At 34.1% G+C, this 22200-nt stretch overlaps 1 protein-coding gene across 6 annotated transcripts, besides 1 other annotated feature; it reads left to right on the top strand.

Annotated features, from left to right (window-relative positions):
- The first annotated feature begins 12 nt into the window (after nucleotides 1–12).
- TSPAN19 (tetraspanin 19) lies at nucleotides 13–21973 on the top strand. Of its 6 annotated transcripts, none has more exons than XM_017018863.3 (9): nucleotides 13–86; nucleotides 6317–6409; nucleotides 6499–6571; nucleotides 8267–8391; nucleotides 12890–12964; nucleotides 16554–16664; nucleotides 18697–18834; nucleotides 20319–20402; nucleotides 21735–21973. In XM_017018863.3, exons 2-9 carry the CDS (start codon nucleotides 6344–6346, stop codon nucleotides 21801–21803), a joined length of 741 nt encoding a protein of 246 aa, XP_016874352.1. In that variant the 5' UTR covers nucleotides 13–86; nucleotides 6317–6343; the 3' UTR covers nucleotides 21804–21973. The 6 variants fall into 6 exon arrangements, with proteins under 6 accessions (XP_016874352.1, NP_001094387.1, XP_016874353.1 ...); NM_001100917.2 differs by having other exon boundaries at nucleotides 18691–18834; XM_017018864.2 differs by lacking the exon at nucleotides 21735–21973 and adding an exon at nucleotides 19102–19249 and having other exon boundaries at nucleotides 18691–18834; nucleotides 20319–20386.
- Nucleotides 19566–19860: an enhancer, noted in NCBI's record as "tiled region #14945; K562 Activating non-DNase unmatched - State 24:Quies, and HepG2 Activating non-DNase unmatched - State 9:DNaseU". NCBI's record gives its function as "activates a minimal TATA promoter and a strong SV40 promoter by Sharpr-MPRA in K562 cells, with weaker activation in HepG2 cells {active_cell/tissue: HepG2 | K562}" and the evidence as "EXISTENCE:reporter gene assay evidence [ECO:0000049][PMID:27701403]".
- Nucleotides 21974–22200: the final 227 nt, after the last annotated feature.

Below are 22200 nucleotides of genomic sequence, written 5' to 3'. Positions count from 1 at the left end.
CTCTAGAAGGACAAACAATCTCGATTCTAAATTGAAACGAACGCAGCATTTCAGGGACTGGATGAGGAGCTTACGGTTTTTTACAGGTAGATTTTAATATTTAAGTAACTTTGGAAAATACTTAATAAAATGAAATTTTGTTATAATTACCCAAGTAGATGTAATCTCACTTTTAAATTTTTTAAATTGTTTCTGAGCTACATATATTTATATTTCCATCTGGTGATTTGCCCATGTATAAGGTGTTCATTCCACAAACCCTTAATCCTGAACAGTGATTTGTGGGACATAGAAGTATGGAAGAGAAGTCAATAAGTTGTTTGCCTTCCATGACAACAGTTTTTTAAAAAAGAAAAGAAAAGAAAAAGGAAAAAAGAAAAAAATCATCAATCAATGCCCATCAAAAACCTCTAACTGAAGGGATGTGGGTGAGAAATTTGAAAAATTATTTTCTGGAGTTATTTTACTGTAAAAATATTGTCACACAGTATTTCAATATAAAACCTTAATTTCTAAGTTTATGTCATGCTATTTAATTTTAACTTAATTTATTAAAGTTTTTTGTGGAGCAAATACATAGGGTACAAAATAATATTTTAATTAATAACATATTTTTTACTTTAATTTTCTTTTAAAGTTTGCAAATAAGGCATTAAATTCTAAAAGGAAGTAGCCATAATTGTAAAAGGTATCTGCTATAAAATAAGCTAAAAGCAAATATTTCACTGAGCCTCTGGAAAAAAAATAGACTACATTTCCTGGTAACAATAAACTTGAATTGCATCAACATAAGAACTAATAATATAAAGTGAGACGTTAATAGATTTCTCATATTAAAAGCACACATGTTAGTTTCCTTTTCAGGAAAGATGATTTTAAAAAATAAACTACACTTGGTTTCAGGTCTAATTAAATTCAGAGTATTTTCATTATCAAAGTCCATGCTCAAATGGAATTTGTTCTTTTTTTTAAGTTTGGTTTTATTGCTGATTTATAGACTATTGAAATTATCTATTTTTTATTGTTTTTTTAGAGACAGGGTCTCCCTCTGTTGCCCAGGCTGGAGTGCAGTGGTACAATTATTGCTCACTGTAGCCTCCAACTCTTGTACTCAAGTAATCCTCCCGCCTTGGCCTCCCAAAGCACTGGGATTATAGGTATGAGCTACTGTGTTCGAACCTCAAACTGTTCATTTAAAATAGACTTTCATATTGTGTTGAAGTTCACATAAGAATCTTAAGATTAGTTTTATTTTTGATTGTGAAACTATCCAGACTTCTAAAAATTATAAATCCTTTAATAATTTCAAAATTAATTTTGAATAACTAGTTTTCATAATCAAATAATTTTGGAAATAATGCCTTAGTTCCTTTCCTTCTCAAAGCTTACTTTGTCAAATATTGACAGCAAAAAAGAAAAACAGTGAAAGATTTTCTGAAGATAAATTAATTCATGGTGATAGATCTCCTATATTGTCATGCGATTTTTTACTTTGGAAGAAAGGACAACTTTATCAATTAGTCATAATTTCGCTAGAATATAACTAATCAAAAATAAAAGGCAGCAGTTATCTAATACATTTGTAGATTATAAGTAAATTTAACTTGACACTGTTGTTTATCAACCATGTAGTATTTAGCAGAAGTCCATTTTAATTGCATTATTCCTAGAAACGGTAACTTCAGATTGAGTATGTTGGTTTGCCTATGACTCTTTAACCTGAGTAGACTTTTGTTTCTTTTGAACATGTTAACTTCATTTCATTTAAATTTTAAAAACAATTTGTAGGTGTGGTTGATTTATAGCATATTGGCTTAACAATGCATATTTCCTTTAGAGAGTACATAATAAATATTTATTGAGAGAATGAAAGAATGAGAGATAACTGTTTGTTCTTTGTTATCTGACAAGACTAATATTCCTTTGAAAATGTGTTGTAGTGAAATCATTTTAGTTTAAGAGCATTTTTCAACAACTGCTTTATTCTTCATATGGCAGTGATATAATTTAAATATCCCATAATATCATTGTTGTGTTCAAAATAGTTGCAGAGCAGGTATTTCTTTGTTTCATTTTCTTGAGGCACCGTAATTATTGAGTAAAAGTAATTTACTATGTAGCTCATAGTACCACATATTGTATTCTTAGGCCTCTCATTCTCTTGTTCCACTTAAAGTGTGTCTCAAGCCTTCAGATTCTCTAACTCTCTTTGTGCTCCCTCCCAGCTGCTGTCATGACCAACCACTTCACAGAAAAATGAGAATTTATGACTTTCCCACAGTTTCCATCCCATTCCCCATTCTCACATGCATGACTCTTGTATAATCTTAATATTTCTATACTGAGATATGATATAACGAGATTCTAGCCTTATGATATAACGAGATAACTAACATCTAGCCAGGCACTGGGCTAAGAGCTTTACAAACATAATCTCATCTAATTTTCACAACATCTCTTTGAGGCATGTACTATTACAATCTGCATTTACAGATGATGATACTGGGGCTTGGGAAAGTTATTGAGAGGGTGGTTTATATCAATGGAGTTAAATCTCATCTCTGCCATTTATTAACTAAGTGACCTTTGGCAAGTAATTTTGCCTTGCTGAGTCTTTCTCTCCTCATTGATGATATTGGGGATAATAGCATTTGCAAAATATCGACGATAAAGGGAATCAATTTAAATGAGACAATGTAGAATATGAGATAATGTTCAAAGTTTAATTACATCATTTCTACAGACTACATTCCATCTTTGATTCTTTGGTTATCCCAATGCTGGCAATTCTACTTCCTACTACATCTCTCATATTGTGATACTGTTTCCATTCCCACAGCCATTTATAAATTATCCCCCTATCTTAAGTGTCTTTTCTAATTTGGCTTCCACATTGAGGCCAGAATTACGACTCCCTATTACCTTCAGGAAAAAAAAAATCTTTAGTAAAGCATATAAGATTTGTCACAATCTTTACTGAGTCTACTTCTTTAGCTTATCTTTCATCTCTTGCCACTCTGATCCATGCCTCCTTACACCTCATTATAAAGCTTCTGAACATAGTGTTCCCTCTGTCTTGAATATTTCCTATCTCTCTCCCATTTTTATCTAACTAGGACCTTCTTAATCTTCCTTCAAGAGTCATCTCAAAATCATCTTCTCTATGAAACTTTCCTGTTTCCTTTATTTCCTGTCCCCACCTCAACACATAATTCAGGTTTTAATATTTGACTCCTTGACATTCTCTTACTTGTTCATTTGTGTGTTCCCATCTCTTGGAACTTAGAATATAAAAACAATAACAAGAAGCAATTAGAGTTTATTAAACTAGTGCAAAATAATACCTATGAATAGATTAATTATTGTAAGTTGTCCATTCCTATAGCATCTCTGCTGTTGAGCTTTCAACATCAATTAACTAATCAGGAACTGAACAAAATAAATGCCACACCAGGACCTTATTTAATTAAGTTAGAAACAAATTCTTTGTTTATAGCAAAAGAAAATATAGATCTTTCACACTACAAATATTTAAATAAGAACTACACTTAACTTACTGTGTATCTTTGTGTTGGCACGTCATTGTTCTCATTGACGTTGTTTCCAGTATGTGGAGCTTATGGCTGAAAAAGCCAACACATGAACATCTCATTTTACCATTCTTTGTAAACATAGTCATGGGCTTCTTTGAATCGTTGCTTGGATGCACAGTTTGTTGTGTTTTAACTTTGTAACCTTGAACCACAGTTTTGAAATTACCATAAACATCTTCCTTACCACGTTGCCTACATTTGCGCTTACTAAGTTCTCACCCCTTTTGACTTCTATACCATGTAACACCATGATATGACACCATGATCTAGAACTGTCTTTCTCTATTGGTTTCCATGAGATCATGCCTTGATTGTCTTCTCAGTCTGTAAAAGTCAGCTTTAAAAATTCCAAATTCTTAATTGTATCATTTCATTCTCTACCATCAAACCTCTGCCCATTTCCATCTATAGACAGTCCCTCTTCTCTTTCATTCACACCCATGACACTGGTTCTCTATGAATGACTTTCAAGTCTGTACAGCCTATGCTACCCATTTATCTGCACTCCATTTATAGTCCTTATGAGACATAACCCACAGATATTCTTTACCAATTCAAATTTAATCATGAAATATTGAATTTATGAATTTTTCTTCTAAACCATTTTCCTGAATTTTTAAATTTCCAGTGATTACCATTATTCTTTTATTTTCCCATCCTACATGAATCTTTCTGATTGTCTTTGATTCTTTTCCACAGTAAAGCATATTAAAGCTTAATCCAAGCTCTCTTTTTTTTCTAATTATCTTCTGTAATTGGCCTTTTCTGACCAGTGGGCATTTTGTTTGGCCCTCACCACCCTATTTTCTTTTCTTTATCCTGGGTACATGGTTGCCTTCAACTGGAGCTGAGTATTGCTGTGGGACCAAGTCTGTGCTGGTGGACTCTAAATGGAAGAGAAGTGTACAACTTCAACCTCACTTGCTTAAAAGATGCCTGCCTGAGTTTACTCATCCCCTTCCCTTTCTGTTAGCTATAAAAGATGGCACCTGGAGCCAATTTGGAAGCCACATGTTGAACAGGCCAGAGTTAGCTCCAAGTTTCTAACATGATTTTCTAGAAGTGAACCAATCACCTACTTTGAACTGAGATAAATAAAAGTTTACTTCTATATTTGGGTCCTTTGATAAAGTATTGCAGCTTGACCCTGCCTAACATGCTAATTATTACCACATCAACACTCAAGTCCATGCCTTCAACATTTCACATCAGAGTTACCACAGAGCTTTCTGGTTCATTAGTATCCATTCTCTTTCTTCTTCACAGACAGGGGCCAAGACCTTGTGCCTATCTTCTCGTTCAGGCTGTGAGAGAGCTTTTCACATGTGGTAGTAAATAGAATTGGAACCAAAAATGTAGATTTATAGCATCTTTGAAATAAACTGAAATAAAAATCATGCAGTCTTTCCAACTGAGCGTCCCATCAAAACATGCCAGGCATTAGAGGAATTAAAGAATAAGACAATAGGATGGAAAGTAGAAAAAACAAATGACAGCAAGAGAATTCAAAGCATAGGTAGAAGATATAACCTGTAGTGACTCCGTAAACTGAGAAGAACACTGGGAGATTTTACGAGGAAGATGGTTTACGATAAAGTAGGGAAGGTAGTACATAGACTAATGTAGACATCTCTTTTTTTTCCACTTTTCAAAGGATCCTTCAGTTCAATAAACAAATTGCTTTCTGCCTAATTAGGGACAGACAAATAGCTTTAAAATAATCTTATTAAATCTGCTTCTATCATGTCAATCATGCGCTACATATATTAAAACATTGTAAACTACAGTATGTTTAAAATTATAGTGCTAGTTAGAATTAAAACAGTGAGAAGAGAAAAGAGAAAATCTGGGAACATACTCAAGATTAGATTTGAAACTTTCATCTCTAATGAAACCAGCACCAAAAACCAATGGAGTAGGTATTGATTTTTCCATGAAAGTTTTAGGAAAATTGACTACCTGGAAAATAAGTTTTAATGAAAGCTACTTTAGTTTTTTTATATACTGCATACTAAACTAAATTATAGATTAAGTAATTTAATTCATCTATCTATTCATGCATTCAACAAATATATATCAAGTACCTGCTGTGTGCTAAACCTGGAGGTTACAATGGTATATAAGACATACTCTCGCCACTTAAATACCCCTGACTCTCTGTGGGGAAGAAGACAGGTCAATGAGAAATTTGAGAGGCAACAAATTGGGTTAAGAGAAAGATCCCCAAACCAACACCTCAGTGAGGAGCTAATATTATTCTGAGAAAGGGGAAGGGCATGCAGAAGTGAGGAAAACTTTCCAGCCAAGGGAACAAGGTATATTAAGACTGGAAATGTTCCTGGCTATCTAATGGTTAGGATTAAAATAAAAATTTAAAAATACAGTAAGATGGAAAACAAAATATCTTATACTTTTTGAAACTGCAAGAAATTCAGTAAGGCTACTTGACTTGTTATACAAATGTCTTCTTACTCTTGATTGCCTAGTCAAAGCATTGCAGATATATATTTATTATTTTAAGTACAGATACTCTCTAGTAAAAAGAAAATGCAGGCAAGGTACAGTTTCAAGATACCTTCAATAAATCCTTTCATTTAGAGATGGAAGTATGTTATACTGATAATTGATTTGAGAAGAAAAATGTGCAAATAAAGAACATAAGTAGGGAGAAATATTTAAAGTTGTTGTGTAGAATGTTTAAAAAGTTATGGTTGTCTTTTCAGAATCATCAATATCTTGGAAGAAAAAGAATGTTAAGAAATAACAAAACAATAATTATTAAGTACTTTCTTAATCTCATTAATGGAGCTTTCTTGGTAAGAATCTTCATAATTATACAGTAAAGAAAATGTAATCTATTGTATAGGCAATTACAAAAAAATAAGCATTGACTTTCTTTTTTTAGGTTCTTGGACTTTTATTCATGGGATTTGGTGCATGGCTCTTATTAGATAGAAATAATTTTTTAACAGCTTTTGGTATGTATCTATTTTTGTTTTTCTCTCAGTGAAATAGACATTCAATTTTTAACAGTTGTATACACAATTTATTCAGCAGGTGGCAGTATTTCTCTGTAATTTATTAAGTGTCCAGCATTCCTTCTGAAAGTCTTCATCAGTTGTAGAGATTTTTTAAAGGATACAAAATTACAGCTAGGTAGAAGAAAAAAGTTCTGGTGTTCTATACTACTGTAGGATGACTGTAGTTAACAATAATGTATTACATAGTCACAAATAGCTAGAAGAATATTGAATATTCCCAACACACAAAAATGATACATATTTGAGATGACCGGACATGCTAATTACTCTGATCTGATCACTATATATATTGTATGTATCAAAACAACACCCATGAATATGTACAATTATTAGTTGTCACTTTAAAAAGAAAATTTAAAAATGCAATTTTAACCATGTAACTTTCCTATTAAAAGCTTATGTGACTCCCCATTGCCACTATTTACTCGTACAGCAAATATTACTAAGCATCTTCTCTGTGTCAGTCATTGCCCTAAGAGCTGAGGATATGGTAGTGAGCAAACAAAATAAAGTTCCTATCCACATGGAGCTTTATTTCAGTGAAGAAGACTGAAAAACAAAGTGCCTATAATGTCATCCTTGCAAACATTTTTAGTCTCATCTGACTCAAACTGTAAGTGCCAACAAAGCTGAGTTTCTTACACACCCTGTGCTGCTGGATGTCTCAGAAATGCTCCACCATTCCAACCTGGTTATTTACAATGACCAATAAAGCCTATGCTCAGATGTTACCTTTTCCAGCAGCCTTGCCCAAACCTTCTAACCTTCTCCCCCAACTGGTTTAGGTGCCTCTGTTCCCAGTAGTATGCCGGCAAACGTTTAACAACCAGTTCTGGAATAGAGAATATTGATTTATGACATCTGCCCATTTCCATGGTTTAAACAGCTCCTCAATGGCCAATTTCAAGGTGTCAAAGTGAATTCAGTTGGTTTGCAGATTTCCTGAAAATATCACAATTGGCTTTTATGAGCCAGTACAAGCTCACTCCAGCACACTACTGCCTACACTGTTCTCCCATAACACCTCCCACATGTTTAATTTATTTATCCGTCCTTCTTTTTTAAAACAATTATTTGTTGAGCATTTATTGTTCTGCTGTTTGTGCCATAGCACCAAGCATTCAACAGTCAGCCTGTTGACTGGATAAATATATATAATCTCTAGCACTGAGGGCTCACAGTCTAGATGGGGAAAAATAAAATATAGTTTGAAAGGGATCATATTAGCAATAAATTCAGGGTGTATACATCTAACTCACACATATTAAGTTCTAAAGATTTTTGATGAATGAATGAATACATGAATGTTTGAATATACATTGGACATAGATGAAATCTTAGAAAAAAATTTATTCTATCATAGAAGACAAGGAGGATAAGGGTAAAGCGATCTTCTGAAATTTAAGAAATTCTCTTCATGTCAGAAAAGGAAGAAAGGTTGTTTCTAAAAGTAAGAGCTGGTACATGAGGTCAAAAATTGAGAGACAGAGAGAGACAGAGAATCCTAGTGGTTTGGCAACAGCTGCTCAGAAAAACTTTTGATTGCTGCAATTATTCTTAAATAGAAAATAAATAAAATACCACTTCATATAAAATACCACTTCATAATAAGTAAATTTGTACTTTTCACAGATGAAAATAATCACTTCATAGTACCTATTTCTCAAATTTTGATTGGAATGGGATCTTCTACTGTTCTTTTTTGTCTATTGGGTTATATAGGAATTCACAACGAAATCAGATGGCTCCTAATTGTGGTACGTATTTCATGTCAATAGTTTGAATTTTTGTCTTAGATTTTTAAGTATCTAAGTTACACAAATGAATACTGATTTATATTAGCATGGCACTGCAGTAGAGTATGTCCTTAGAGTAATTCAAATGAAGCACACCCTCCTCCCTCCAACAAAGTCACTTTTCCTGACAGGATTTTCTTAGTGCGTTTTCTATGAATTGAATCTGTACCTCAGCACATTTGGACATTTAATTTTCAACACAGAGTCAATAGGACTCTCCATCTCCTAGGGTGAACTACAATTCACCAAACTTAAGAATCTGAAGGCTAGAATTAGAATAAAGTGTATTCAAGTCAATGAGGAATGTAGCTTACCAGGGAAAAAGAAACATGATCTATAGTCAGCACATTTTTCTCTCTGTGGGCATGGCACGCGGAAAGGTAACTTATGTATGTATGTATTTTTTTATAATTTCAACTTCTATTGTATATTCAGGGTACATGTGCAAGTTTGTTACATGGGTATATTGCACGATGCTGAGGTTTGGAATTCGATTGATCCTGTCACCCAGCTAATGAGTGAGCATAGTACCCAGCAGTTACTTTTCAACCTTTGCCCCACTCTTTTCCTCCCCTCTTTAATAATAGTGTCTACCATTGCCATGAAAGGTAACTTATAATTGAGATCACAAATTGTTATTTTTAAAAGAGAACTATAATTACTGAAAGAGGCAGACTCTAGCATCTGGTTGCCCACTGTTTCTCTCGAGGCTTGTAACGTGAAAAGGCAAATTATATTCCAGAGTACTGACTTGGACATGAGCCAATTACCATACATGTGGCAGTTATGGATCACAATTCACACACTCAGATGAAATATAGCCTTTACATTTTTCTCTAAATCAAATTGATTTTAATTGCAGCCAAGCAGATGGGAAGTTCAGCTGCTGTCATTTTGTCCCTTACCAGGAAGAATGCAGAGATACTCAGCTTTTATGGAGCACTGAAAGTCTGGGTAGTCACCCTGGACACTAGTTATCAGTCTATGCCAGTTACCACAAACACACTCACTTTCCCAGCTCACATGGTCCCTTCAGGTCTACTCACTCTGCTCTTTGAATGGCCATGAGTGCCAAAGGTAGGGCTGCTATTCATCTAGTATTTACCCATACAGGCATATCAGTGAAACCCTTTTGTGAAATATTGGTAAATAACCAGTACCTCAGTTCCATTCCTTCAGTCTTCCTTCCCTGAGGCAGTCAGACCTCCCCAGTGACACAGCAATTGGGAGGTACACCTGGCATAGGAATCAGTTGCTTCCTATTAATAGTAATTTCTACTACTATTTGAATATTACCCTGGCACAGGCATTTTAGGTATGGACCCTGATTTCCTTCTGGGGTTTTACCACCTTACCAGGGCAGTGCCAGGATTCCAAGGACTATGCTCTGTTGCTCTGGAAACCCACAGACTTCCAGATTCCACCTCAAAATCTTTTTAGTCTAAGAAGAGACTTTATTCTTTCTTCTTATTCTCCTCCAAGGCCAACCCTCTCTTCTCAAATCTTATCTTTCTCTCTTTCCAGGATCCTTAGCATAATTTTCTCACTGAGCTTCAGATTTTGGATATAAAAACCAGAACAGAAATGGCTTGCAAGAAAACCTTGATTTTTTTCTTCTTGTCACAAATTTCCATATAGGCAAAGGAAATGCAGAGTCTACTACTTATACAATGTAGTGGGCAGGGGATAGGAAATGAAGGGGGAAAGTAGAGGGAGTAAAACAAACATTTCCTAAGTTTCTGCCTCATATAATTCAAGCATTAATGGCATCTGAATGAGAAAGCCTGATAGACGCCATCATAAGGATATACATGAACATAGGATCTGACAGATTAGGGCCTGGAACCAAGATACTACCATTCCTTTTAGACATTCCATGGAAGGGTATTGCTAATTTGGCCATTGTGACACTTTTGCTATTCTCCTCTGAATTTACCAATATTTTTCTGATGAATATATCTTTCTCTGAACCAAATTAATTCACACAGTCAACTTATGGGCAAATATTATAGGCCTAAAAGCTATTCCATGTCTTGGGCCAGGTGCGGTGCTCACGCCTGTAATCCCAGCACTTTGGGAGGCCAAGGCAGGCAGATCACGAGGTCAAGAGATCAAGACCATCCTGGCCAACATGGGGAAACCCCATCTCTACTAAAAATACAAAAAATTAGCCGGGCATGATGGCAGGTGCCTGTAATCCCAGCTACTTGGAAGGCTGAGGCAGGAGAATCGCTTGAACCTGGGAGGCGGAGGTTGCAGTGAGCCAAGATCACACCATTGCACTCCAGCCTGGGCAAGAAGAGTGAAACTCCATCCCCCACCTCCCCCCCAACAAAAAAAGCTATTCCATGTCTTAAAGGTGATTTAACATACTCCTACTCTAATCTAAGATACCCAGTAATTTTAAAAATTGTTTCATATGCCGGGTGTGGTGGCTCACGCCTGTAATCCCAACCATTTGGGAGGCCAAGGTGGGCAGATCACCTGAGACCAGCCAGTAGTTGGAGACCAGCCTGGCCACCATGGTGAAACCCCATCTCTATTAAAAATACAAAAATCAGCCTGGTGTGGTGGTGGGCACTGGTAATCCCAGCTACTAGGGAGGCTGAGGAACGAGAATCGCTTGAACCTGGGAGGCGAAGGTTGCAGAGAGCTGAGATGGTGCCACTGCACTCCAGCCTGGGCCACAGAGTGAGACTCCATCTCAAAAAAAAAAAAAAGGTTTCATATAATTTTTCCTGCCTCTACCAATCCCTTATTAGTATAAGATTAAGTGAGATATTGCATGTAGAAGTTAAAAATCTAAACATCTAAATAGATGTAAAGATTACATTTTTGTCTCTGAATTTTTTTTTCTCTGAAACTAGGAAACATAACTTATCTCAAGAAGAAAATTTTGGTCAGATATTTTAAAGTATTAGATGTATAAAATATGTGTAATTAAATAATTTTTATCTCTGAGGGTCAAGTAAAAAGTAAATAAATAATACAGTAAATCATTAGTACTTATATTTTGCCTAGTAAATATTCAGACCGCTTACTTTTAAAATTATTATGAATTCTAAATCTTTTTTTTTTTTTTTTGAGGTGGAGTCTCGCTCTGTCACTAGGCTGGAGTGCAGTGGCACGATCTCGGCTCACTGCAACCTCCACCTCCCGGATTCAAGCGATTCTCCTGCCTCAGATTCCGAAGTAGCTGGAATTACAGGTGCGAGCCACCATGCCTGGCTAATTTTTGTATTTTTAGTAGAGAGGGATTTCACCATGTGGGCCAGGCTGGTCTTGAACTCCTGATCTAAAGTGATCTGCCCATCTTGGCCTCCCAACGTGCTGGGATTAACAGCCATGAGCCACTGTGCCCAGCCAAATTCTAAATCTTATATATTAATATGTGCTGTGTAAAAGTTGCAGTTACCAGCAGGAAATCACTTTTGTCAGACCCAGACAAAATAGAGCCAGGAAAGCCTAAAGGAGAGGAGGCTCATGCTTACGTGTCTGAAATAAATACTGTTTCTAAGGACTTTCTGAAAACTCCCAGCTAGAGACTGTCTTCAGTCATCTCCTGCTTTTATAAGGTTTATGGCTAGATATTCCTTAGGACTGCAGTAATTCAGATAAGATGTTCTTGGAAGAGCACTTGACCAGTAATGACATCTCTACCAGTGAACTGGCAACAACTCTGGCTTTCAATCTTTAGAACCAATAAACTCTGTTTCTAAGTAGTTTATGTAAATCTCGCCCATTTTGCTACTAAATGCTTCTCTCTACCCTCTCCTCACAGAATGAACTGGTAGTTTACCATTTCATGCAATCTGGACTATAATCTTTATTTCTTATTCTTGAATAACTCAACATATTTAGAGATAATTTTCTTTTGTGCCTTTTTTTTAGGTGGACAACAGCTATGATGAAGAAGACTAAATTGGCCATTTAAAAAAAAATTAAATAGTCTAATAAATGTAAAAATTATTTTATTTGGTTTGGATACAAGTATTTTCAGTTTTCAGGAAATAGCCCAAGTATACGTAAAGAATTAAGTTTATTATTGCAGTTGCTTTTGTTATACGTTCTACTTTCTGCATAAGTTTAAATAGTACATCAGAAATTTAGTGAGTCTTTAGTTTTAGCAAAATAATGTGAGGTGAAGATAATTAAATTCACCCTATAATAGCTTTAGAACTGAATTAAGATGGCATCATCGACAACTCTATTGGACCAAGGTGCTCATTAATTACTATCACTTCTTTCTCTCTTGCTCTTATCCAAATGTTCATTTGTTTTTTACTTTGCCTTGCTATTTCACTAATTTCATTCATATTTGTGAAGGCAGGAAGCCTCAGCAATACCCATATATACTTTATGGTTGCATATTTCCAATGGTGTGTGTTTTCCCATTATTTGAGCATACAAAACATATATTAGTAGCATAGTCATCATCTCTATTTTTCTTTTGTTTTAGTATGCAGTATTGATAACATGGACCTTTGCTGTTCAGGTTGTACTTTCAGCATTCATCATCACAAAGAAAGAGGAGGTATGGAAAGTAAATCCTTTTCAATACATCCTGTTATTTGAAGTTTAAAGGAAATTGGATACCTTAGAGTATTGAGACCATTGATCCTATATTAAAAGCCAAAGGTAAATTTCTTTAGGGGAAAATAATATTTAACAAAAGTACTAGAGTATAGGAAGGGGCCAGGAGTCACATTGAAAAGGGTAGATAGGGGAACTTGCCTTTAACTCTGTTTGCATATGATTAGAAAGTAGCTTTAAATATCAAACAGTATTGAGGAAGAGGAGGTGGTACTGAGATTTAGGAGTTCAAATTTTTACCTTCTCCTCTTACCAACTCTGACTACCACTACTGACCCAATCACTGTATTATGTTTTTGCAAAGAAACAAATTTAGACTCTAACTAATTTGAAATTTAGCAATTTCACTTAAACAAGACATACTGAATAATTCCTATATTTTCCACAGGTAGAGTGATGAGTGATTAATTAGAGCAAGATTTAGGTTTATCAAATTTAGTTCAAAAAAGCATATAATAAGCCTGAAAAAACTTTTGATCAACAAAACTTACCTATTACAACCTACAGTTACTTTTAATCCTTTAGGACATTTCAGTATTTCAGTTCAGTCAAGGTCTGTCTTATATCACGGAAGATTAATTGTCCTATAGTAAAATGAACATGTACTTGAAGTCATACAGATATGAATATGGTTAGGGATCACCAACTTGCTTTACAGCAAGTTGTTGCTGTATCTGTAAAATATAATGTCCTTATCTGTAAAATATAATTAATACCTACCTACCTTACAGAGTTGTCATTAACTGACAATTTATCAAGTTTCAGTTGTAAAGTAGCTACTCAAGAGTTCTCTTACCTCGCCTTAATTAATCTTGAAGGATCTCCTGATTAATTTATATGGTTCCTAGATTTTCTTTATATCTATCTATACTCTTCTGTAATGGCCAAAGTTCAAAAACAATCTTTTCTGTATGATACCATTGCCCTCCAACTTCATTCTTTACTGGACAGCTCATCATCCAGTGCCTACTGTTAATGGCCTGGCATTTAGAACTAAAATTACTTTTCTCCACATCTAAAATGTATGTGTGTGTGTGTGTGCGTGTGTTTGTGTGTGTGTGAGTTTTAAAGGTATGTTAGCTGCAGCAGGTAAGTTTTGGAAAGCTGCTTTGCTGGCAAAACACCAAATCCCAATCTATCATCCTCAAACTTTTCAACCTCATTATAGAACATAAATATGACACATAAGAGCTATCAATATGTAAATATAGTTTATCAGTCACCCATATTTGCTTCAATGTTATGCACACACTCCTGTATCTCTCTATATATTAGAAATAAGAACTGATTAATAACTACCATGTGCCAGAGACTGTGATAAACACTATAGGCATTGTATTATTAATCCTCATAGCAACCCCTAAAGAAGCACTGTAAGTCCTACTTTATAGAAGAGAAAACTGAGGCTTTGAGATGAGAAATGCTTGTTAAAGTATTTCATGGCCAAATGACAGAGCCTAGACTCAAATACTCATTAGCTGACCCCAGAGCTAACAGCTTTGTTTACATCAATTTGTCTTCTGCATTCAAACTGGATTAAGTTCTTAAAAGCCTCTAAATCTTTTATGCCATTTACAGTACCTAACTCAGTGTGGAAGATAAACTAGGCCTTTCATAGATGCTTACCAAATTTGAGTAAGCATAAGGGAATTTTATTTATACATTAGTCACATAGGTTACATAGGAAAGTACTTATGTATGAAATTGTCATTTATATGCATTCTGGATCTCCCAAATAATGTTTTAGAAACAAAACGAGGCCATATGTTTCACCCCCAACACACTCTCAACAGCACTATATATCTTATTTATTCTAAATAAAAATGAACAGAGTATAAAGTAGATCTAAAATCTCCTTTTCATTATTCTAATCTTCTTAAATGTATTAAAATACAGATATATAAGTAACTAAGTAAGATTTTAGCTTACATGCCTTTTATAATTACTGTGATATTCCCACCAGTTACTTAGTTTTTATTGTCAAAGACAGCATAATTCAGTAAAAATCCTTAAGACTAGTATTCAAATGATTATATTTAAAAGTCTCAGCTCCTTGTAAACAAAAGTAAATAATTAAATTCTCTGAGTGTCTGTATTCCATTCATAAAACAGTAATAATATCTATTCTTCCTACCTTTTGGTATTATTGAGGACCAAATTAGTAATTTGTTATAAAAAATTATATAAATTTGTAAATGCTTAAGTTACTACGACAATCGTTCTACCTTTGCATTACCTAGATTTTTGAAATTGCAGAGTTTTGTTTATCCCCATCCAAATCTGATCATTTTTGTGTTAGTATTGGAGAGAAAAAGTTATATCTCATTCATCACAAGGCTCTTGGCTGAGATCCCTATAACAAAAGACAAACTAACAAATGAAAAGCATAACAAATTTACTTAACCAAAAAATAAAGACTCCAAAAAATAAAGACCAAAAAATAAAGATCCAAGGAAATCTATTTTTGTGGACAGTCATGTGAAAGTGTGATTGGAGGACAAAAGCATATAATCTAATGGTAATAAACTAGGGGAAATTTAGCAAGGCTTGTCTGTTCAGATGCTTCTTGGCTTCTGCATATAGGACAGGACCCCTCTGGAATGAGGATCTGATGCTATACCTTCAGGGGAAATGGGTCAGAGAATTCTATTATGACCTGCCTCATGGGAGAAAGGCAGGAGAAGGTCAGAAAGTGACCTTCCTGCTTCTGCAGTTTTCTCAATTTCCTTGAGCTTAAAATACTCACATACCAAGGTGCTATATTTTGGAGCTGTTGTATTCTGAGCCCTGATAGTACTATGAAAGGATAATATTTAAAATTTAAAAATCATAACTTTTGTAGAAATATACAGTAGATTTCAAAAGTCAATTATTTTATTTAACATCTTAATTAATGAGGGAACCAGTATGATAGAAAACTAATTCAAAGGAGAATCCAAAGAAGACATTTATATAGGCCATCACTTAATAGACGCAAAACAGGCTTGGAGAGAGAAGGAATTAAATATACCTTCACCGAGAAAAATGTACATTTGTCTGACCAAGTATAACTTGCATAACTATAGTTTTCTACAACTTCTAAAGTTGTAAAATAAATTATAAACCATGAAAAGTACAGTACAAACCCCCACAGAATCAAGGAATGTTGAAGTTTGCCAGAAAAAGCCTAGTGTCCATTGAAAAGACACTCAACAAACTTTTTTGGCTTATATAAAATACTTTTACAGTTTTTTTCCTGAGAGTATGAGAAGAAATCTCCCTTAGATATGCATGAGAATAGCACATTACTTCTTCCTTAATTGTAAAATGAGCCTAATATATTCTTCCTATAGATTATGAATTGAAAAACCATATGATTTGATATCCACTGAAAGTGTTAAAAAGTTATTTTAAAAAGAAATAAACAGAAAACAGAAAAATAATATTGAATATTCTTTTCATGATGGTACTCTTGAGGAACCATCAATTTCTATGAAATTTTTATGGATACATTCCTATGAAATTTTCATTTTTAATACAATTTTCTACAGGTTCAGCAACTATGGCATGACAAAATTGATTTTGTCATTTCTGAGTATGGATCTAAAGATAAGCCTGAAGATATAACCAAGTGGACTATTCTGAATGCCTTACAGAAAACAGTAAGATGAAATTAACTAAAAAATTAGATGTCAGTATTGACCACTGTGGGACAGAAGAGAGAATAGGTCAGGGCAGGGGATGGGGCAGATGGATGAAAGTTTGTTGTATTTCTTTCAAACAAACTGGGCAAAAAGGGCATTCTCCACACTTACAAATCTTGATTTATATCCTCCTTTTGTAACTCCTATCTTCTTTTCTGTGTTAATGGATGTGCATTTTAACTTAGTTTCACCTGGAAAAGTGCTGCTGGTCTTTTGCCAAGTGGGATAGTCTATCCTGCTGCACCTGATGGGAGATAAGTTTAAGCAGTAGTCTCTGCTGGCAGCATTGTGGTTACCATTTGAGTCTGAATACCAGGATTGCTGTGCAATAGCTTTGTGGTTCTGGACAAGTAACCCTCTTAAACTCCAAGTTCCACATTCGTAAAGTGGGCATACTAACCTCTAACTCTGGTTGGCAGGAATAAATGAAGTAATATATAGATATTCTATATATTATAGAAAGGCTATATATAGAAAGGCTTGGATCCAGGGCATAAATGCAACTAACACTTTTTAGCTAATTTTTAAAGATTATTATTTCACAGTGCAGATTTTTCCAGACAGGTGCAGTGGAAGGGTAAGAGAAGGGTATTGTCGGCTAAATGGTTTACAGAAATAGATCAGCACCTGGAATATAATAAGTGCCCAATTAAAAAAATACCAAACATTTACATAGTCCCAGACTTTTTTGTAAGTGCTTTGCATATATTAGCTAATTCAGTCCTCCCAACCCTATAACATAGGAACTGTTATCCTCATTTTATAGATGAAAAACTGAGAAATTTAGTAATTTAATGAGGATTGCGCAGCTAATAAGTGGCAGAGCCAAGATTCAAACCCACACAATCTGGCACTAGATTCTGTACTTTTTACTGCTATATTATATGCCTCACATAAAAAAATAGGTTTTATTTATAGTACATATGATAACGGAAATACATTTTAAGAGAATTGAAATGTAATTACAAATACTTTTACTCATTGTCTTTTTCTCTTATGTATGTGATCCGTACATGTATTGTATTTTCAAACTGCATTACAACTTACAGCAGAGAAGTGAACCTTCCTATGGGCAGAAAATGATGAGGAAACAATTCTGTCTATCATATCACTACTATTAGTGAAATTCCAGCTTTCAATTCCTAGCCATTAATATAACTGAGATAATATATGTAGGTTTGTTTGTTTAAACTAACTTTCAGTAACCTAACTCTCAATCAATATTTTAGTCGTCAGCATTTCCTAGAATTGTCGTAGATTGTTGGTATATATTGTAAACATAGGCAGTACTAATGTTATCATTTTCCATAAAAGTTTAGAAAACAATTACTTCACCTTTCTCTTATTTCCTAAGTGACAAATATGTAAACAGATTCTTTCATATCCTCCTAACTCTGCTTGATAGGATTCCAGAATCAGCACTACAAATGAGACATTTCTTAAAAGTTGGATCATTTTATGACTATTTTTATTATCTTATTTTGGTTCTTTGTGGTAATTTTCACACAATACAAAATTGAAAGTTAACATCTCACATTAATCCTAGAAAAGTAGATATTACCCTGCATCTCTTTTTAGGTATACCAAACAGTTATGACTGCATATTCTTTAAATACAAAGAGAACTGCTACAGTTGGGAGCAAGATATGGCTCCAGTGATTGTTTTATATTATGGTCCTAAGCATCATTTATACATAAGCATATCAAGTATATCTTCTATCCTGGATAAAATTCAGATGTAATAATTCTATCCAACCACAAGCCACTAATGTGAGCAGAGATCTTTATCTATGGCTGACAACAATAATAGCAGAAACAAAGTAATGAATTAAACAAGCACAGATATACTTATTTAATTCATTACATGTTCATGGGGAAAAATTAATGAGTTATCTTCATCACAAAAACCACTTCAATATTAATCTCATATAATTAACTGCATTTTGAACATTTTATGGTAAAATTCATATAAGCTTTTTCCTAGTTACAGTGTTGTGGCCAACATAATTACACAGACTGGATAAAGAATAAGAACAAAGAAAATTCAGGACAGGTGCCATGTTCTTGCACAAAGTCAACTTTAAGAAAATGGTTTTGTGATGAGCCACTGAATGCAACTTACCTTGAGGTAAAGATAAATCTAGGCTTCTACAAGTATTTATAGTATTTTGTTTGTTTATTTTGCAAGTCAATTTAGAATTCTGAGCAAATTTTTATATAAAAATAATGTTGTTGACGGTGGCTACATTCTTAATCCACTTCCCTAAGTTGAACACGTAATTAGGTAAATTGTAGTGTCATTTCCAGTGTATAATACGTAAAGTAAATAAATTTCCTGGGAGTATATGATTTATGTATTCTTGGAACTTGGGATATCATCAGTCTTTCTCCCCAGCCTTCCTTGAGAAGTCCTGCAGAAAGAGGAGGCACTTCTGTCAAAGCCTTGGTGCATAAGATTGGAAAGGGAGCTAAAACACCAGGAGTAAAAGAATAGGCAAAAACTAAAGGGAGTGGACCCCAGCAATGATGAATGTGGTGTTCAAGTAAGTGTAGCAGAAGCAAGAGTAAAGGGTTGTCTGGAGCAACTGCGATTTACAGGTGTGGGATACTGATAACTAGATTTTTTCATCCTAAGAACTGCGAATACTTTGTATAGTTTACATATTAAGCTTATTCTAATCTTAAGATGTATTGTTTCAATTGCATAATTAATTCATAAATAAATGGAACATTACTTTTTTTTTTTAAAAAAAAGCATCTACTCTTTGGGAAATAACCATTTTATGTGGTGATATATACAGTAGTTGCCCCTATCTGCAGTTTCACATTGTGAGAGTTCAACCATTGAAAATATTAAGTGGAAAATTCCAGAAATAAACAATTCATAAGTTTTCAATTGCACACTGTTCTGGGTAGTATGATGAAATCTTGTGTCTTCCTGCCCTGTTCCCTCCTGGGACATGAGTCATCCCTTTGTCCAGTGTATTCATGATGCAGATGCTACCCACCCTTAGTCACTTAGTAGTCATCTTCATTGTAAGATCGACTGTTGAGGTATCACAGTGCCTGTGTTCAAGAACCCTTAATTTACTTAATGATGACCCCAAAGTGTAAGAATAGTGATGCTGGCATATTGTTATAATTGTTCTATTTTATTATTAGTTATTGTTTTAATCTCTTGTTGTGCCTAATTTATAAATTAAACTCTATTATATATATGTTTCTATAGGAAGACATGTAATATATTTAGGGTTTGATACTGTCTGTGTTTTCAGGCCTCCACTGGGGGTATTGCTGGTGGGTAAGTAGGGAAACTACTGTATCCTGATGAATTACAATAGTCTGCAGAAGAGAAAATCTCTTTCTAAAGTGTAACAAATTTCTGATTTTAATTACATGATAACATCTTAGCAATTTTAAAATTAGCAACTGAGGTGTCCTGCTGCCGTAGAAAGCTTTCTGGACTAAAAGTCCAGTTCGCCAATTAGATATTGACTTACTATTTAGACTTTGGTAAATTACTAATCTCTGTTTACCTTTTATTTTTTGTAAAGATTTATGTATAAGATCATTTCCATCTCCATGTCCATCTGAATAACTTCTTTTTCTTAGGGTTGTGAAAATAAAATCAGTGCATGGTATAATGTTAATGTGTTAACCTTAATCGGAATTAACTTTGGACTTTTAACTTCAGAGGTAAGCTTTTGTTCATATGTTAAAATGAAAAATATTAAGTATAAGCTATACAGAATAGACTGCAGAGCAATCAGGTGGAGACCTAATCAGATAAGTTCATATAATAGAGCCAGGACTTTGAGGCTCTTTACATCCAAGAGTTGTACAGGTGATTCCTTAATCAGCCAGGTCAGGGGAGCCTATTAATAAGTGGTCATCCTGGAGGTAGTGATTTTATTACTATGTATAGTACCTATGTATATTTTTATCTTTCTTTCTATATATATCTATAAATAGATCTATTGATGTATAGATATATTTACGTGTGTGTGTGTGTGTGTGTGTGTGTGTGTGTGTGTGTGTGTGTATATGTTCATATATTGGCAGTAAGAGCACCATGTTGGGCAGTCTGCAAGTTGCCAGACTTCTGAAATCTAGGCAGATGTTTGACTTTAGTAAGATCCACTATTCACTCATATGTTCATTCATTCAATGTATTTGGAGGGACGGGGAGCATTTACTGTGTGTCATGTACTGTACTAGATGTTGAATATACAATGAGATGCAAAATAGACACATTCCATGACCTAAAGGTGTCAACTGCAGAATTAAGTTTCAGAAGCAAGACGCTATTCTTCAGTCTCAGTGAAGACTATTAAGAATAAGTGCAGGCTATGGATTCAAAGAAACTTTGAGAGTAAATAGAGTGTTATAGTGGGGACTATGCCACTAAAACAAATACATACTGCATTTGACTTTGTATAGATCCATGAAGCCCCTGACCTAAGTTTTCATCTCTTCAATTGGTAACAATTTTAGTCTCAGAATGGTAGTAAACCAAGACATTCTTTATACACATTAATATCATTGTTTTTAAATGTTTATTCTCTACTGTGTTCATGCTGGAATATCTTAAGACAAAACTGCAGAGGTAATATCCATGTTCCATTTTATCTTCTGCCCTTTACAAGCCACCTTTCATTATCTATAAAAAAAAGAAGCAGTTTTGTACATTTAATGACATAGTTAGAAAGATATCGAACAACAACAACAAGAAAACCATCAGCAGTTTGTCCAGGCATGTAGCTCAGTGATAGCTAATGTAATTAAAACCTAAAGGTTTTTCCTTATTCTCCTCTGTACGTGAACTTGGTAACAGGTGGGTTATTCTTGAAGACTCATTTTGCAGACTTCCTATTCACAACTGTATGTACCTTATTCTGAAATTTTCTCACCAGTTTTGATCCCTTTTCCCTTTACAATACGCATTTTGGTGACTATATATTGTTAACTTTGCAAATTACTCTTATCATTGATTAAATTTTAATCTCTTATTGTTCCCTTTTCTTCCAGGTTTTCCAAGTCTCATTAACAGTTTGTTTCTTCAAAAACATCAAGAATATAATCCATGCAGAAATGTGACCTTTGGATTTCAATTTGTTCAGAAGAAACCAGTTAATTCTTAAAAAATCACATTATATTATTTTATTCCAAAAACGTTTTGAATTGTATTAAATAACAGATGTATTCAAATTATTAATTATATGTAATATTGAATTACTGAATACTATAATAAAACATTCATGAAATTATATTAATTTTGTTTTTCAAAATATTAAATTCTACCGTTCAGAAGTTCACCTGAATTTAAAGGGTACTATCATATATACCAAATTCAAAAGTATCACCATATGTTTTGAGTTTCTTTTGTAGAGAAAATACCTATATGATGTTCAGAAAATACTAATTAAGTAATCAATCATATCATGTACCTTTTATTTGCAAATCTTAAGAAAACAATACTGATTTTATAGGACAT

This window comes from Homo sapiens, chromosome 12 (assembly GCF_000001405.40).
Source record: "Homo sapiens chromosome 12, GRCh38.p14 Primary Assembly".
NCBI classification, from domain to species: Eukaryota; Metazoa; Chordata; class Mammalia; order Primates; family Hominidae; genus Homo; species Homo sapiens.
The sequence above is the reverse complement of the archived record's forward strand: the minus strand, read 5'-3'. Positions and strand labels throughout refer to the sequence as shown.

What these genes read in the sequence shown, in the direction of transcription:
- TSPAN19 (NM_001100917.2), top strand. Translation starts at nt 6,344, where the DNA reads ATGTTAAGAAATAACAAAACAATAATTATTAAGTACTTTCTTAATCTC. An exon ending in TCAGATGGCTCCTAATTGTG is followed by an intron (nt 8,392 to 12,889) that starts GTACGTATTTCA and finishes CTTTTGTTTTAG; the next exon opens with TATGCAGTATTGATAACATG. An exon ending in TTGGACTTTTAACTTCAGAG is followed by an intron (nt 20,403 to 21,734) that starts GTAAGCTTTTGT and finishes CTTTTCTTCCAG; the next exon opens with GTTTTCCAAGTCTCATTAAC.